We start from the raw sequence: 18,592 nt of genomic DNA, 5'->3' as shown, positions 1-18,592 counted from the left end.
CCAAAGAGGACATCCGTCTCACTGTCTCTATTTGCTCATCCTCTTTGTTCTCTAAGTCCTGATATTCAGAATAAATCTTGGCTTTTTATCATGATAATCTCTTTATTTCTAGTGATAGAGAGCCCTTTCCTTTCTGGACACTAGGATTAAAAATTGTCAGAAGTGACACAGCATTTTCCAGCCTACTCAGTTGTCAGTGACTTTTTCCTTAGGACTAAAGATAAGACAATGTATGTGACTCATGGCAGTGCCAATGATAGTAACCAAGGTAAAGCTTTAGGTCTTAGGTTAATCTTAAGTGTCCTTGCTGTCTATAGCCTGCGCCCTAGTGGGATATTAAAGGGATGAGGCCTGGGTCACAGCACATATTCATGGCATTTACAATTTCATCTGTTGGCAGTGAGATCATTAAGGGTCATTGGTGAGGTTATTACCTGGCTCTGCTACCTTATGGCACTAGACATTTCAATTAATCTCTCTGAGGTTGCCATCTATAAAACTGGAGAAAGTAACACCTATCTCTAGACTTGCGAGGTTTTGCAAATGCGTGTAAACACTCACACTGTGCCTAGCACAGAAAATGTGCTCACAGAAATGTGCCTGTCACTATTTCTTTGGTTATTTTAATGGAGGGGCAGTTATTGAAGACTTAAGTGAGGTTACCACTAAGTGTGAATTGGAACAATTCAATTTAAACCCCTCTGGAAAAGTCTGATTTTCCTATATGCAATTCTATTTTCCCTGAAAACAGTTTATTAGCATCCAGGAGGGAGACCCTTGATGGCCTTGGGATGAATTTGACAGTTGGAATGTTTGGTCAGGAACAAAATTAGGATGGATGGATTATGTTGGAATTCAGTGAGGGCTGGGGTGAGAGTCACTCATGAGAACCAAGGTCTCTGCCAGTGTACCATCTGACACCTTGCCTGTAGGCAGTGTGGTCTCATGTGAATCCTTGCTGTCAAGCTCAAGTGAATATGCTTCACCTAACCACGGGAAGTGAGATTTTGGTGCTGTGAAAAGCCAAATGACTGTTGCTTTAACCATTGCTTAAATAAATCTTTGTTTACTACATCCACAAGAAGTTGGTTATGATAAGCCAAAGCTCAACAGACTGTATTTACATATATTTTGGAGTAGCTATTTACAGGCAAAGACTTTGAACTTCAGGGATGGTATATAAGGTGTGTGTTCAGTTTAGTTTTTCCTTTTACTTTTTTTCAGTAAAGTGACTAACAGATTTGAGGACAAGATCCCAGACTAGTGACTCCAGAAATGGTAGCATTTTTCTGTCATATGAAATGAATGCTTTCTTTTTGGTTTCAGCTCAGCAGTTTCGATTGATGTGGCATATTGTTTTGTGTTCTACATCATGCATGTTTCTGAACACTTCTAAATGAGTTAACATTCTTAACTGTAAACTTAGAGGAAGTCATTGGATAGTGTCAAGGGATTGCAGAGAAGTTCAGAGAAGAGAAGCATCGTAGGCTGTAGTGAATTAAACAGTAGCAGCTGCAGGGCTTAATGGAAAGCAACTGATCTTAGGCATCCAACCTATGTTTGTGTTCTGGCCCTGCCTGTATCTCTAGCACTTACGCACCTTGGGTGTTAGGGAAATTAGGTAATTTATCAGTTTTCTTATCCATAAAATGCGACTAATATCTATCACTTAGAGTTGTTTTCAGGATAATTTACATATTTATCACCAACCATAATGCCTGTCATACAGTAGGTACTCAATAAATTATGGCTATTTGTATTAGTAATAAGACTATTTAATTTTTTTAACAGTAGATACTATGTAGACTAGCCAGATTGGAAAAAGTTTGAGAGTGGAAAGTCTGTTTGAGTGTCACACTGTGAAATCTCCAGTGAGGGCTGCAGGCGGACTTGAAAGTGAGGAGACTGGTAGGTGTGTAAGTGTCTGTGGGCTAATGTGTTCTTTCTCCCCACCCTGTCCTGCAGGATGTGGACAAGTGGTCCTTTGACGTCTTTTCCCTCAATGAGGCCAGTGGGGATCATGCACTGAAATTTATTTTCTATGAACTACTCACACGTTATGATCTGATCAGCCGTTTCAAGGTCAGTACCTCTTTAAAAAGAAAAAATAAATAAACTACATGCATATGTTTATCCTCATATGACTTTTGGGTTCAGACTATTTTAATATGCGGAATGAAAACTGCTCCAGGCGACTGAGGAAGCATCCTTCGGATAGCCACTGCTGTGAATTCCTCTGTGGAGGGTGATTTTGATTGCGCCCTTGCTGGTGGGTCTCAGCGGCATGGGAGAGACAGGAGAGACCCATTTAGATTCTGGTCTTCCTGGAAGTACAACCCAAAGCCTGTAATAACCAAGCTCCCTTTCAGGCTCTGCCCAAAGGTCTCATTTCCACATGACTTTGTGTCCTATTGACCAACGCTGTCAGAGGGGCAGTAGTGGAGACAGAGTGAACATCTGCTGTCTCTGTAAACTTTTTTTTTTCCCACCACTTGGCTCATTCAGACAAATACTATCACTTATCATCTGTGACAGGTCATTGGTATTTTCCAGCCATTCATGCTTCAAATTGATTCTTCAACTTTACATAAAGAACTTGAATCATTTCCAGTGTTCAACTCCCTACAGCCTTCTAATACTGTAGACTCTCGAGGTGGGGTCAGATCCTCAGGGAGTTGATGTAGTCATCTGCCAACATCTATGGTATCAAGCTCCTCTGACTTCCCTCATCAAAGGGATGAGCCTCTGGAAAACACAAGTCTTTTTCTGTACCACATATTGATTTCTCCGGAGATGTGGTTCTTTATTTTCTCCTAGGGACTGTGTATTTGGAGAGGTATCTGTTTTTTAATTGGTACAAATATTGTATATATTTATAGGGTACATGTGATATTTTGTTACACGCATAGACTATGTAATGATCAAGTCAGGGTTTTTGGGGTGTCCATTACCCGCATTATTTATCATTTCTATGTGTTGGGAACATTTCAAGTCCTCTCTTCTAGCTATTTTGAAATGCACAATACATTCTTGTTAACTGTAGTCACCCTATTCTGCTACTGAACATTAGACTTTAATCCTTCTATCTAACTGTATGTTCGTACCCATTAACCAATCCCTCTTTATCACCAACCCCCTATACCCCCACACACATCCCAGCCTCCAGTATCTATCATTCTACTCTCTGACTGCATAAGATCAAATTTTAGCTCTCACATGTGAGTGAGAACATGTGCTGTTTGTCTTTCCATGCTTGGATTATTTCACTTAATGTAATAACTTCCAATTCTATCCATGTTGCTGCAAATGACATGATTTCATCTTTTTTATGGCCGAATAGTATTCCATTATGGTTGTATACCAAGTTTTCCTTATCCATTCATCCACTGGTGGACACTTAGCTTGATTCTATATCTTAGCTATTGTGAATAGTACTGCAATAAAAATGAGGGTGCAGATATCTCTTTGATACACTGATTTCTTTCTTTCTTTCTTTCTTTTTTAATAAATACCCAGTAGTGAGATTGCTGGATTGCATGGTAGTTCTACTTTTAGAATTTTTTTTTTGAGAAATCCGCACACTGTTTTCCATAGTGACTGTACCAATTTACATTCCCACCAACGTTGTAGAAGTGTTCCCTTTTCTCTACATCCTCACCAGTGCATCTTTTTTTTTTTTTTAACCATAACAGCCATTCTTACTGGGGTAAGATGATATCTCATTTTGCTTTTGATTTTCATTTCCCTGATGATTAGTGATAATGAGCATTTTTTTCATGTACCCATTGTCCATTATATGTCTTCATTTGAGAAATGTCTATATCTTTGCCCACTTTTTAATGGGATTATTTGTTATTTTTACCAAGTTGTTTGAGTTTCCTGTACATTTTGGGTATTAGTCCCTTGTCAGATGAATATTTTGCAGATATTTCTCCTGTTTAACAGGTTGTCTCTTTACTCTGTTGATTGTTTCCTGTGCAGAAGATTTTTAGTTTAATATAGTCCCATTTGTCTATTTTTGTTTTTATTGCCTGTGTTTTTGAGGTGTTAGCCATAAAATCTTTGCCTAGACCAATTTCCTGAAGTGTTTTATTCTCTTGTAGTTTTATAGTTTTGAGTATTATGTTTAAGTCCGTAATAGATTTTGAGTTGATTTTTGTATATGATGAGAGATGGATGTCTAGTTTTATTCTTCTATATATGGATATTCAATTTTCCCAGAGTTATTTCTTGAAGAAGGGGTCCTTTCTGTAAGTTTTTGGTGCCTTTGTCAAAAATCAGTTAGCTGCAAATACGTGGATTTATTTATGGGTTTCTTATTCTATTCCATTGGACTGTGTGTCTGTTTTTATACTAATACCAGAAAATACTATTTTTTATACTAATAGTATAAAAATATACTATTAGCATAAAAGTATACTAAAAATACTATTTTATACTAATACCATAAAATACTATTTTATACTAATACCATAAAATAATATATAGTGTTTTGGTTACTATAGCCTTGTAACATATTTTGAATTTATGTAGTGTGATCAAGGATAGTGGCCTGTAATTTTGATTTATTGTTGTTGCATCCTTGTCCAGTTTTGGTATCAGGGAAATGCTGGCAATGTAAAATTAGTTAGGGAGAAGGAGAAATTGCCCCTCAATTTTTTGGAATAGTTTGAGGAGAACTGATGTTAGTCCTTCTTTGAAAGTTTGGAGGAATTTGATAGTGAAGCCATCTGGTCCTAGACTTCTCTTTTTCAGGAGAATTTGTATTACTGATTCAAACTCATTACTCATTATTGGTCTGTCCAGGTTTTCAATTTCCTCATGATTCAATTTTGGTAAGTTGTATGTGTCCAGGAACTTATCCATTTCCTCTAAGTTTTCCAGTTTGTTAGTACATAGTTGTTCATAATAGTCTCTGATGACCTTTTGTGTTTCTGTGGTATCAGTTGTAATATCTCCCTTTTCACTTCTGATGTTGTTTATTTGGATCTTCTCTTTTTTTTCTTTGTTAGTCTAGCTAGCAATTTATTTATTTTGTTTGTCTTTTCAAAAAAACAACTTTTCTCATTTCATTGCTCCATTGCATTGTTTTGTTAGTCTCTATTTCATTTAATTCTGCTCTGATCTTCATTATTTTGTTTTTTTACTAATTTCAGTTTGGTTTGATATTGCTTTCTTTTTCATTGAGGTACAGTGTTAGATTGTTTATTTGGAATTTTTCTACTTTTTGGATGTACACATTTATTGCTAAAATTTCCCTTTTAGCACTGCTTTTGCAGTATTCCATAGCATTTGATATGTTTAGATTTTCATTTGCCTTAAAAATATTTTTATTTTCTCCTTAATTTCTTTCTTAATCCAATGGTAAATCAGGAACATGTTTAATTTCCGTGTATTTGTTCAGTTTCCAAATTTCCTCTTGTTATTGATTTCTAGTTTTATTTTACTGTGATCTGAGAAGACACTTGATATTATTTTGATTTTTAATTTTTTGAGACTTATTTTGTGTCCTAACATATGGTCTAGGCTGGAAAATGTTCTTTGTGTTGGTGAGAAAAATTTGTGTTCTGTAGCTGTTGGATAAAATGTTCTGTAAGTGTCTATTAGGTCCATTTGGTCTAATGTGAAGTTTAAATCCAACTTTGTTGATTTTCTGTATAGATGTTCTGTTTGATGCTATGATAGAGTGCTGAAGTCTCAAACTATTATTGTATTAGAGTCTCTCTCTTCTTTAGGTCTAGTAATATTTGCTTTATACATCTGGGTGCTTCACTTTTGGGTGTGTGTATGTTTAGAAATGTTATATCCTCTGGCTGAATTGATTCCTTTTTCATTATACCATGACTTTCTTTGTCTCTTTTTACCATTTTTGACTTAAAGTCTGTTTTATCTGATATAAGTATAGCTACTCCTGCTTGCTTTTGATTTCCATTTGCATGGAATATTTTTTATGTCTTTTTCTTTTCAGTCTACATGTGTCTTTACAGGTGAAAAGAGTTTCTTATAGGCGACATATAGTTGGGTCATGGATTTATTTTTAATCCATTTAGCTAGTCTATTTTTTGAGTGGGAAGTTTAATTGATGTACATTCAAGGTTGCTATTGATATGTGAGGACTTATTCCAGTCATTTTATTAATTAATTTCAGATTGTGTTGTATGTCCTTTCTTACATTCTTATTATTTATAATTGTGGTTTGGTGGTTTTCTGTAGTGGTAACATTTGGGTCTTTTCTCTTCCTCATTTGTGTATTTGCTTTACCAGTGAGTTTTTTCCTTTTGCATTTTCATGATGGTAGATGTTGTTTCTCTGTTTCCAGGCGTAAGACTCCCTTAAGCATTCACTGTAGGTCTGGTCAAGTAATAAGGAATTCCCTCTGCATTTGCTTGTGTGGGAAAGGCTTTATTTCTCCTTCATTAATGAAGCATACCTTTGCTCAATATAGCATCCTTGGTTGGCTTTTTTTTTTTTCTTTTAGGACTTTGACTGTATTATCCCATTATCTTTTTGCCTGTAGGGTTTCTAATGAGATATTTTCTGTTCATCTGATGAAGGTTTCCTTATAAGTGACTACATGTTTTTCTCTTGCTGTTTTTAGAATTTTTTGTCTTTGATTTTGACAGTTTGGCTCTAATGTGCTGTGGAGATCTTTTTGAATTGTATCTGTTTGGGAATCTTTGAGCTTCCTGTGTCTGGGTGTCTAAGTCTATTGCTACGTTTGGGAATTTTTCCACTAGTATTTTGTTAAATAGGTTTTCTGACTCTTTTGTTTCCTCTTTGCTTTTGGGGACCCTGAAAATGCAAATATTTGGTTGTTTAATGGTGGTCCATTCGCCACATAGGCTTTGTTTATTCTTTTTTCTTTATTTTTGCCAGACTGCATTTTTTGTGAAGACCTGTCTTCTAGTTCTGAACTTTTTTCTTCTTGCTTGGTCTAGTCTACTGTTGAAGGTTTCAAATGTATTTTGTATTTCATTAAATGAATTCTTCCATTCCATAATTTCTCTTTGCTAATTTGTATGATAGCTATCTCTTTGGTAAATTTATCATTAATATCCTGAATTGTTTTCTTGATTTCTTTGTATTATTTTTATGTATTCTCTTGTATATCACTGAGCTTCTTTAGAATCAATAATTTGAATTATTTATCCAAGACTTCGTAAATTTCATTTTGATTGGGGTCTCTTGCTGGGTAATTAGTCAATCATTTGGAAGTGTCATATTTCCTTGCTTTATAAATGTTTATTGTGTCCTTGTGTCAATATCTTTGCATCTTGTTAAACAGTCACTTATTTCCATTTTTAAAATTTGCTTTCACATGGGAAGACTTTTTCCTGAAGAAGTATCTATGATGTTGGTTGAGTAGAGAACTTTGGCTTTAATTCTGGCTGTGTGTAGTAGTGCAGTCTTTGTATGATTCCTTTGGCTGTAAACCGTGTCAGCAGTGTACGTGATTTCTTCAGTAGCTTAGAGTGTAATTGTTAGTGGAGGCTGTGGTGAAGTTTCACTGGAGATGGGATGCCAGTTGGGCCTGACCTTGGGCCCCAGTAGTGGCAGTGGTGGGCCAAGCATGCCTGTCCCATGCCTTGGGCCCCAGGGAGTTCTACACTTGCACTGGTGTTAGCAGATCCAAGAGGCCTGATTCTTGGGCTTCCAGGTGGCTTGCTCAGGAGCCAGTGGTGGCAGCAGTGGGCCAAGTGGATTGGGGGCTTCTCAGTCCCCTGAACAGTAGGCATGGCATGAGCATTGGAAGTAGCAGTGGTGAGACTAACCCCTCAGTTCCAAGCATCATAGAGGTGGCTACAACAGGCTAGGTGGGCCAGTCTCCAGGCTCACAGGTGGCATGTATAGGTGGGTGCCAGCTGTGATGGCAGCATCAGTTTGAGTGGGCCTGACCTCAGGTGCTTGAGATGAGTACTCAGTTCCCAATAGTAGTGGACTGGACTGGGCTATCCTCAGGCCCCCAGATGGTGTGTTGAGGCACTGGAAGGTGTGGAACTGGGCCTGTTGGATCTGCAGCCCTGCTACTGTGGAGGGTATTGTTGCTTTCAGTGGCAGCAGCTGTATACGGGTGGCTGGGGAGCATGCACTTCACTTGTGCTTTGGTCATGGCTGCAGCAGCCCTCCATGGAAGCTGCTGCAGGTGGGGGGTTTTGTCCTTAGGGTGCATGAACTTGCATGGTGGGTTTGTTCCTGGGGGCAGTGCAGTCTTTGCTGATGGTTCATACTTCATCCCTGGAGGCAACAGCCAGCCACAGTTGTGGCTGCAGGCAGAGAATGTCAATGGGGCTCCAGAGTTATGGGGATACAAGGACTATTGAGCCCCCAGGTAGTATGCAGTCTGGTGGGGGCTGGGCTCTCAATATGGTGCCTTGCTGTAGCTGGGTAGGGGGTTAGGGGATGTGTGGGACCCAGCATGAGCTCCCTGTATGGAGCAATGTCTTCATGTGATCTCCAGACAGCTCCCTGTCTTAGTCTCAGGGTCTGCCAGGGTTTAGGGGCTTTCTGGTGGCTAGGATACAGGAGTCCAAGGTGGGAATGTGGACTGCTAGCCATCACTCACTTACCTTTCTTTTCGCTGGAGAGATAGCCTCTCCAGGATTCCAGCCAATCCATGCCTTGATTCTCTCTCCTTCCTTGCTTTAGGTGTTTCCTCTTACTTCTCTGTTGAATTCTAGTGTTGGATAATCTATTTGAAATGTGATTATCTACTTGCTATTTTGGTTCTTTTTTGTGGAGGAGGTGAGTGCCAGATGCCTATAGTTAGCCATCTTGAAGCCCCTCCCACTGAGGAAATATGTCTTTACATGACCACAAATACTTCATGGCCATGGTCCTTAGGTCCTTAATTTTTCTTTGCATCGGAAATCTGTATGAAAATCTTGTGGATGCTGGAGAGGATGCTGGAGACTTTCCTTGGAACAAAGTTCCTGTGCACACACACAGCCCTTTCAGCGACTCTTAGATCTCTGTGAAACAACCCAAGGAGCCCAGGTTCATTGGATCTTTATTTTTAAAAATGGTAATGAATTCATCTCTGACCTCTTAAAGGTTGTATTTTAATTTTTAAAATTCTGCAAATGGTAAAATGGAAGAATATGACCAAGGGAGAACAGATTATGGAATCTCAGGAGTATTAACTTAGCATTTTCCTTATTTTTTTTTCACAAATGTAATTGTTAATCCTCAGGAAGACATATCCTCTCCTTTTCCCCTAGCCTTATATTGTATAATTTACCCTGAACCATGGAATGGATCCAGAAAACTAATACAATGAAAGTTTTCTGGATGCCCTTATTTTGTATATGCATTTTGCAATGTTCTTCGCTGTTACATAGAAAAGGAAGGCATGTATATTATACATATTTCAGACGACAAAACAATTAATCTAATTGGAAATATTCTGAGTGACTGGTAGTTGCAAATAAAGACTGAAGTATTTTATTCGTTGAGAAATAAATGAATACATACTATGCAGCATATCTCATTTGTAGGAAAACAAAGTGCACAAAAATCTTAAGTTATAAAATTATTGCAAAACAAATATAAACTGCCTGAAAACAATGCCCTTTGAAAGGAGTGGTTATATACATTGGACACATAAGAAAAACAAAACAAAATCAAAACCCAAAACCAAGCAAAAACAAAACTCAAAACCAAAATGCGATAGTCTGTTATATATGGGAACAGAAACAGGCTATGTTCTTATGTTTGTTACTTGGCAATTTATTGTTAGTGACTTGGAATTTGGAAGATTTCATTCTACTGATACTACATTACAAATAGTGAATGATTCCACAAATGGTTACTAATTATTAGTATTATTTTTGAATTCCTCAGTGTTATTTACAACATTGTTTGGTGTCCTATGTAGCATCTTTTTTTCCCTTAGGGTTAGAGGGGAAGGGTATTTAAGAGTAGAGGAGGACAAGGAAATACAGAAAATTAACATAGTCACCAACAACTCAGTTTTCTATGTGTGTATTAAAAATTACTGCTTTACATGTTACTAAAACTAAGTATCTTAAAATGATCAGATGTCATTTCTCAGGGATTCTAAAATGAGCAACAAAGAAAAATTTACAAGGCAGGCTATTTCTCAACCAAGGACTTCCTGTTAGATTTTCAAATTATCTGATAATTTTGTCAGTAATTTTTATTAACTGTGTAAGTTCCAATTTCCTCATGTGTTATGCCTTCAGAGAAAAAGCAGTCCTGGTGCCTTAGACTTCTGTGTCTCCATTGAAAGCAGTGAAGTCACTAGTTAATTAACCTTACTGCTCTCTTTCAGATCCCCATTTCTGCACTTGTCTCATTTGTGGAGGCCCTGGAAGTGGGATACAGCAAGCACAAAAATCCTTACCATAACTTAATGCACGCTGCCGATGTTACACAGACAGTGCATTACCTCCTCTATAAGACAGGAGTGGCGGTAAGTAGGGATAGGAACTCTTAGGTTCCCCAAAAGATGTAAGGATGAGTTTTTAATGGTGACTGTTCCAATTCTGATGAGGTGGAGGCCACGAGTCATGCATTGTTTTATGGACTTCCTGTTTCCCAGGAGTAATCTAACCAATATGGAAAGTCTTGGAGTTCTCCGTTGCCTCTGAAATTTTCTCCATCCTGAGCCTGATGAGATAAATACCTAGTAGTGATTTGCGTCTTCACTGGGTTATAACCAATTTAAATATAAAGACTACAACTAAATATGTATTTCTAGATATGGAGAGTGGTACTGTTAACCTTTTGCTATGGTCAATAACAATGATATTCATGTATACTGAAATTGTATTCAATGTACTTGGCAACCGTGTTACGCAAAGTTAGCTTTTGGTTTAAGCCACTAAGTCTTTTTCACAGGGACTATAGTTATTCACATCCTATTTGTATGCCTTTCATTATTTTAACCTAATGGTAAATCTTTACTTCTAACCATTTGAAATGTTCCTTGCTTCTTTTGGCCCAACATTTTAGCGCTTTAGATGTTTTTGGTTTTGCTTTAAAAATTTTTTTTTAAGACATGGAAATCTCAGTCTATCACCCAGGCTGGAGTGCAATGGTGAGATCATAGCTCACTGCAGCCTCGAACTCCTGGGCTCAAGTGGTCCTGCTATCACAGGCTGCTGAGTAGCTGGGACTATGGGCGTGCACCATCTTCAGTTGTTTTTGAATCTGTGTTCTGTGTTTACTGACCTGCTCAACTTGGTTGTCTTTGCTTTTTTCTTTTTTTCCTTGATGTAAGCCATTCATTTAAAAAGATATAGCCATTAAAGGCAAAAACAGGTCTGTATGAATTTTTACTTCGAAATCTCCTTTAGAATTGGCATTAAGATAGACATACTTTGGGTATAGTTATCAATTATCCCATAAATCCAGGGCACATTTGTTATCTTTTCCTCCAGTGACTGTTGAAAGACTTGGCCTAATATCTCACTGAATTAAAAATGGAATATGTGGGAGGATTGTGGGCTTTGGAGCTAGATACAGTGGCTATAAATCCCTGCCTAATTGCTTACTAGATATTGTGACCTATGATAAATTACTTGAGTCTCTGAGCGAAAACTTCCTCATTTTTTTAAAATGGTGAAAAATATTCCACTTTGTAGAAGTGCTCTGATGGTTAGAATAAAGTATCAAAAATATTAAGTACTCTGCCTCATAAAGGAAGCTCAACAATTAGGCATTATTGTTAAAACGTTGCAGAATTTTTGTAAAACCTATGATCATTTTTTCAGTTCTTCCTTATTATAAAGCTGATTTCTTAAAAATAGTATTTAAAACACTATCTTTAAAGTTATAACAAGATTATAAAGGGAACATTTTTAACTCAATAAAAGATTTTTACCAAACATTTAGAGCAAGCATCATATTGAATGATGGTTCCGTGAATACATGGAGCAAGACAGGGATACCCACATTAATATTCCTACTTGGCATTTTTCTGGAAGTCTCAGCCTCAAGAATGCAGTATGCAATATGATATCTTCAAAAGTTGAAGATATATTCTGTGAAATAATGTGATCATCTCCTTTAGAAAATAAAGCCCTTTTAGATCAAATAAAATACCTCGATAGGTCTAGACAAAAGAGCTCTCCTATGCACTGGAAATTAACGAGTGTAATAGAAAAATGTACATTCCCAGCAGTTTTTAAAAAGTATATAAATCACCTATAAAGAGCCTCAAAAACAATAAAAAGGAAACTAAAATTAAATCAAAGGGCACAAAAATGATCTTTAAATAAATGGAAAAGGCATCATGTTTTTAATGTGAGTGAAACCTCAGTACTATATAGATGTCAGTTTCCCTCAAAGTAATCTATAAATTCAAAGCAATACTATTCAAAGTTTCAAGGATTTTAATATGAAACATGATAATCTGAATCTGAAATTCATGTAAAATAGGTATTTCACAACCTTAGAAAAGACAATTTTGTAAAAGAACAATCTAATAGGGAATAGTTCTTACTCTCTTAGATATTACAATACATACTGAAGCTGAGCATGTGCTGCTTGTGAAAAAATAGGCAAATATATCAATAGAATTGATTAGAGTTTCAAAAAATAAACCCAAATGTGTATTGAGAACTTATATGCTGGGTCCTTTATTATGGGATACTATAGACTGAATGTTTGTGTTCTCCCAAATTCCTCTGCTGAAATCCTAACTTCCAATGTGATGGTATTAGGTAGTGGGGCCTAGGGGAGGTGACCAGGTCATGAGCATGGAGCTGTCGTGAATGGGATTAGTGCCTTTATAAAAATGAGTTCCCTTCCCTCTTCTGCCATGTGAGGACACAGTCATCTATAAATCCAGAAGCAGGCCCTCACCAGATGCCAAATCTACCAGCGCCTTGATCTTAAGCTTCCTAGCCTCCAGAACTGTGAGAAATAAATTTCTGTTGTTTATAAGTCACCCGGCCTATGGCATTCAGTATCTTAAGCTTCCTAGCCTCCAGAACTGTGAGAAATAAATTTCTGTTGTTTATAAGTCACCCAGCCTATAGCATTCAGTTACAGCTACCCAAATGGACTAAGATAATGGACAAGTTAAGAGGGTATCAGTACTCTTGTAGAACTTAACATTCTGGTGTGAAGTTACAGATAGAAGAGACCAATGGGAAGCAATCAAGAAAATGTTATTAATACTCTGTAGAGAATTAAAATAGAGGACCTACCCAGGGAAAGCTGGGTGTTTTATTACATAGTCAGGAAAGGACTCTCTCTGGAGATAGTATTTAAGCTGAGATAATTGTGTTTTTTGGCTTCAGCCATGCTAAGAGTGAAAGAAGAGTGTGACCACAGAGTTAGTGCAGGGTTTTAGTACAAGAGTCCTGTAAGAGAATAACTTTGCTACATTCAAGGAGCAGAAGTAAGGCAAGCCTAGTGGGAACAGCACATGATGGGGACAGTGGTGCATTATGAGGCTGAGGAAGAAGCAGGAGCTAGATCAGGTCTGGCTTTACAGGCCACGCTAATGAGTTCCAATTTTATCCTAAGTGCAGTCAGTAGGAAGCCACTACAGGGTTTTAGACAGGGAAGTGATGTGACCTGATAAAGATTCAAAAAGGATTACTGTGGTGAATGGATTTTAAGGCAGCCTGCTAGGAAAATTCTGCAGAAGTCTAGTGAAGAGATGCTGATAGTTTGGACTAGGAAGGATGCTGCTGGGATGGAGAGAAGAAAGTGCTGTTTCTGAGACAGAGTTCAAAGGACTGCTGTGGTGAATAGGATTTGGAACATTAAAGAGGGGAATCGAGAATACATCTTAGATTCTTGGTTTGATAAACAGTTGACAAGAATGCCTGGTGGCAAACCAAGTTTTGGAGGAAAGGGGATCAAGAATTCTGATTTAGACATGTAGAGTTTAAGATCCGTAGTAGACATCCATTTACAGAGGCCAAGCAGAAAGAAAAAGGGTGCTAGAGTTCCAGGGGAGATCAGGGATAAACATGTAGATTAGGTAGTCTTGGACATATCAATAGTATAAGAAGACATGGAACTAGATGAGATTATCTAAAGACAGAGTGAATAGATAGTTAGAAGGGGCTCTGAAGTGAGTCCTGGAACACTCCAAAGATCAAAATGAAGGCAAAGAATTAGAGCCAACAATAGAAACTAAAAAAGAGTGGCCAGTGACATGGGGTATAAACCAAGGGAGTTTGGGGCCATGGAAGCCATGGAAAGAGAATGCTTCAAGAAGAGAGTGGTGCATTGCATGGGACATGCCGATGGTCAAGTAAGATAAGGACAGAGAAATGACCATTCACTCTGGCAACATGGAAGTCATTGTTGACCTTGACATGAGTCATCTCAGTGGTTTGGTGAGAATGGAACACTGACTAGAGTATAATGAAGAAAAAAAATTGCAGGTGAGAACATGAAGACATGACTATAGACAACTTAATAGGGAAAATCACCCAGTTTAAAAAATGTTTTGGCTACAGTTATTTATTTAGAAAAAAGAGAATGCTTTCACTCTACTTCGAGTCATTCACCCCCAAAAAATCTGACAAATGAATTAAAGATGTAAGTACAAAAGTAAAAATTTGATCATATTAGAAGAAAAAATGAGAATATGTTTATGGCCTTGAAAAAAGACATTCTTTTTAAAATTAAGCTTTTAAACACAAAAGTTATACAACAAAATATTGATTAATTTGAATACATTAAAGTTAAAAGCTTTTGTAGGATAAAAAGCATCATAAACAAATTAATGAAGTAAGCATTTGGAGAAAATACATAGAGAACATAGATTAAGATCCAGATTGTATAAATGAATCAGGAAAATGACACAAATTCAGTCAAACAGTATGAGCAGGCAATTAACAGAAAAGGTAATACATTTAATCAATAAAAGAAATATGAAAAGATGCACCATTCATTAGTATCTAAGGATATATAAACTTATACAGTTTTAATCCATTATATACATATGGGTAAAAATGTTGAAAGTGTGATAATATTAACTGTTGGTTAGGATGTAGAGCAGGGTTTCTCAACCTCAGCACTATTGACGTTTGGGGCCAGATAATTCTTTGTTGCTTTTCTATGCATTGTAGTGTAGCAGTATGCCTGACCTGTAGTCACGAGATGCCAGTAGCACTACTCCCCACTCCAGTTATGACAACCAATAATGTCTCCAGACCTTGCCAAATAAACCACTGGTTGGAGGGGCAATTGTCCCAGGTTGAGAACCACTGATTGAGAAGAAATTATGTTCTCATATACTGCTCATCTGAGGGTAAATTGGTATAGTCATATAAGAAAACAATTTTGCAGTGATTACTATAAGGAAAAATATACATACCAATCCTCCAGCACTTCCAAGTGTACTCAGGGAGGCCTATACAATCAGGTTCATTGTAGCAATGTTTGCCATAGTGAACAATTACGGAGTATATACCTATCAATAGGGAGTTAGAACTCTGGAATACCATAGATTTCTATGACTAAAATTCAAGATGTATTATTCAGTTTAAAAAGTTGTAGAAAAATATGTTCTACATGATGTATATTATTAAACATAGCACATGTATATACACATAGATATATATGAAAGTATATTGAAAAACATCTAAAAAGATAAACAGTAAATTGAAGATAGTGGTTACCTCTGGGGAGATTCTCATCCTGAAGTAATGGCCAAAGGGAACTTTATATCTGTATTGTTTGAAGTTTTTGTTTGTTAACACTAGTGGGTCATCCCAGTAGTGGGATCATCTTATGGACCCTTATTGGGTCATCCTATCACTTAAACAGTTAAACATTGTTTAAATGTTATTTGTAAAATTACTTCTCTATGAGACCATTACTTAGGTAAAGTGAGCTGTGAACATTTTAGGATATTGGATATAACATTACAGGCTATTGTAACATTATATTATATCATATATCCTATGATATAACTTTATATTATTTATATTATTAAAGTTATAGGATATATAATATATTCTATATTATATAGGATATTGTGCCATTACTGTACATTGTACATTATTGTACCATTGGCTATATATATGGCCAATGTCCTATTTATTGAAACAAATAGGATAAATAAGTCTATAATACTGGGATTTATTGAAACAAACAGGATAAATAAGTCTCTAATACTGTGATCCTGACTCTCTCTCACTCTCTCTATATGTATATAGGCTGTTTACATATATATATAGTCTATATATAGTCAATAAATCATAAATGTACATAGTCAATAGTCAATATACATATAGTCTATATATATAGTATATATATATAGTCAATACATCATATATTATGATAGTTTCCCTATGTCATTATATATTTATTATAAGAAAATCTTAATAGTTCATTATTGGGTTATTCTATCACTTAAACAGTTAAAATTTTTTTTCACTACTGTAAATGATATTCTGGTTAGCCTCCTTGCATAGCAATATTTTCCCACTAAAGTTTCATATGTGTGTGTTTTTACTTTTTATTGTTAATACTAGTAAATTAAACATTTTCCTTATGTATTAACCACTTTTATTTTCTTTGGTTATAACATCTCCATTCCTGAGAACTTAATATTTTGCTGAGAAAATGTTTGAATTTCTCAGTATTCTTAATAAAAATGATTACCTAATGCCTAGCATACAGTAGAATATTAGTAAATGATAGTTATTATTATTACTAAACATAAGTAATCATGACTAGCAACACTTGTCATATATGTGAAATATTTCAAAACTTGTGATTGCCTTTTAATTGTATGACCTTATATATAGACTTTCTTAAAAATAACATAAGGTAACATATTAGTGGGAGAATGCATCTTCTTCACTCCTAAGGGTTTCATTCATTTGGAGTGTTTTCCTTAGGGTAGGCTGTATTTTGCTACAGGATCAAACAATCCCCAAATCTCAATGGTTTAGAAATAATATCTGCTTTTTTTCACTTCCCGTAACAGTAAGTTAAAGAATCTGCCTGTGTCATTCTCACTCCAAGGGCCTAGGTTTTCTAAACAGCCACCCTCCTGAGTGTTGTCAGGCATTATGGTAGAGAGAAAGGGGCTCTGGTTTTCCTATATCTGTATTTAAATTCTATGGCTCAGAAACTCTGCTCATCACTTCTGCTCACAACTCACTGGCCAAAATGACTCACACAGTCCCTCCCAACCATAAAGGGGCCAGAAAGTCTAATCCTACTATATGCTTGGAAAGAAGAAAGCCAAACACTCTCTGTTATTTATTTATTTCTCCCTGTCTGTTTTCTCTTCTGTCTGCTTCTGGCACTTCTCTTAGACCTTCTGAATGCATCTTCATACCTCTTAGCTTCTCCCATGTTTTCCAGTCTTTCGGTATTTTAATGATACCTCCTGAGAGATGTCCTCAACTCTTTCTTCCACATTATCAGTTTGGCCTTCCGATATGTCCTTCTAGTTATTCAACCTGTTTATTTAACATTTTTAGTTAGCAATATTTTTAATTTCAGGAACTCCTCTTTTTTTGCCCTTTGAATGTGCTATTGTCTTAGCAAACTTACATATTTATGAATGTACCTACACGTTTTGAAAACTTCCTTTAAAAGTCTTTTTAAAAACAGAATTATCTCTTTTAACTGATGGGGAATATGCTATTTGTTTATGAGAATCTTCTTACACTATTGGCTTTTTTCCCTCAAAATGTCTAGTGAAGTTTGGTTGTTGGAACATATTTGTAAGTGAATGTCCAGGTGGGTTAGATGGGTCAGGGGTGTGGGTGTCCTCTGTGTTTGTGTGGTCTGTCCAGAGAGACTTCTAGGGAGGGCATGGCAGCTCTTCATCAGCAACAGTCTTCTCAGTGTCCTTCCCACCTCTTTGACTGTAGCTCTTGTCCTTATGCTTGTAAAATGGCTGATGTACCTTTGCAAATCCAGGTAAGAAGATAAGGCAGAATACAAAGCACAAAAGTTGGAAACCAAATAAATCTGCCCACTTTTAAAGAGCTATCCAGAAATCCGAACCAGCAACTTTCACTTCTGTTTTATTGGCCAGAACTGTGTCTCATGGCCACTGCGATATATAGGGAAGTCTGACACACTGCCATCTCAAACAAAATCAGAGACATTGTTAGTAAGGAAAAAAAGGGCAGTTGGGCAATCAAAAGTGATTCCCATTACAAGTAATATTATTCTTATTTTAAGGAAGATAAATCTCTAATTCATAGAAATTAAAATTATTCTATTACAAAGTAGCTATATGGGCTAAATTGTATTTCTCATTGATTCATATATTGACATCCTAGTCCCCAGGACCTCAGAATGGGACTGTATTTGGAGAGATGGCCTTTGAAGAGGTATTAAGGTAAAATAAAGTTGTATGGATGGGCTCTAATCCATTATGACTGGTGTTCTTAGAGAAAGAGGAGATTAGAACACAGACATGCACTTGCAGGTAGAAGGGTCCATTGTGAGGATACAGAGAGAATATAGCTGTCTGCAAGGCAAGGAGAGAGGTCTCAGGAGAAAACAGTCCTGCTGACACCTTGATTTTGGACTTTTCTCCTCCAGAAACGTGAGAAAATAAATTTCCGTTGTTTAAGCCACGCAGCCCGTGTTATTTTGTTATGGCAGCCCGAGCAACTGAGTACAGTAC

The 18,592-nt window shown here is 36.7% G+C and overlaps 1 protein-coding gene across 27 annotated transcripts in view; it reads left to right on the top strand.

The window, feature by feature from the left end:
• Positions 1-18,592, top strand: part of PDE1C (phosphodiesterase 1C) — an 811,448-nt gene that overhangs the window by 552,851 nt on the left and 240,005 nt on the right. For all 27 annotated transcript variants that reach the window (XR_001744802.1, XR_001744803.1, XR_007060044.1 and 24 more), the window contains 2 exon segments: positions 1,966-2,082; positions 10,292-10,432. Coding sequence is in view for 21 of the 27 variants with exons in the window: in XM_047420443.1 (XP_047276399.1) it covers positions 1,966-2,082; positions 10,292-10,432 (258 nt within the window). In the remaining 6 variants the exon portion in view is untranslated.

This window comes from Homo sapiens, chromosome 7 (assembly GCF_000001405.40).
Source record: "Homo sapiens chromosome 7, GRCh38.p14 Primary Assembly".
In the NCBI taxonomy this organism is placed as follows: Eukaryota; Metazoa; Chordata; class Mammalia; order Primates; family Hominidae; genus Homo; species Homo sapiens.
The sequence above is the reverse complement of the archived record's forward strand: the minus strand, read 5'-3'. Positions and strand labels throughout refer to the sequence as shown.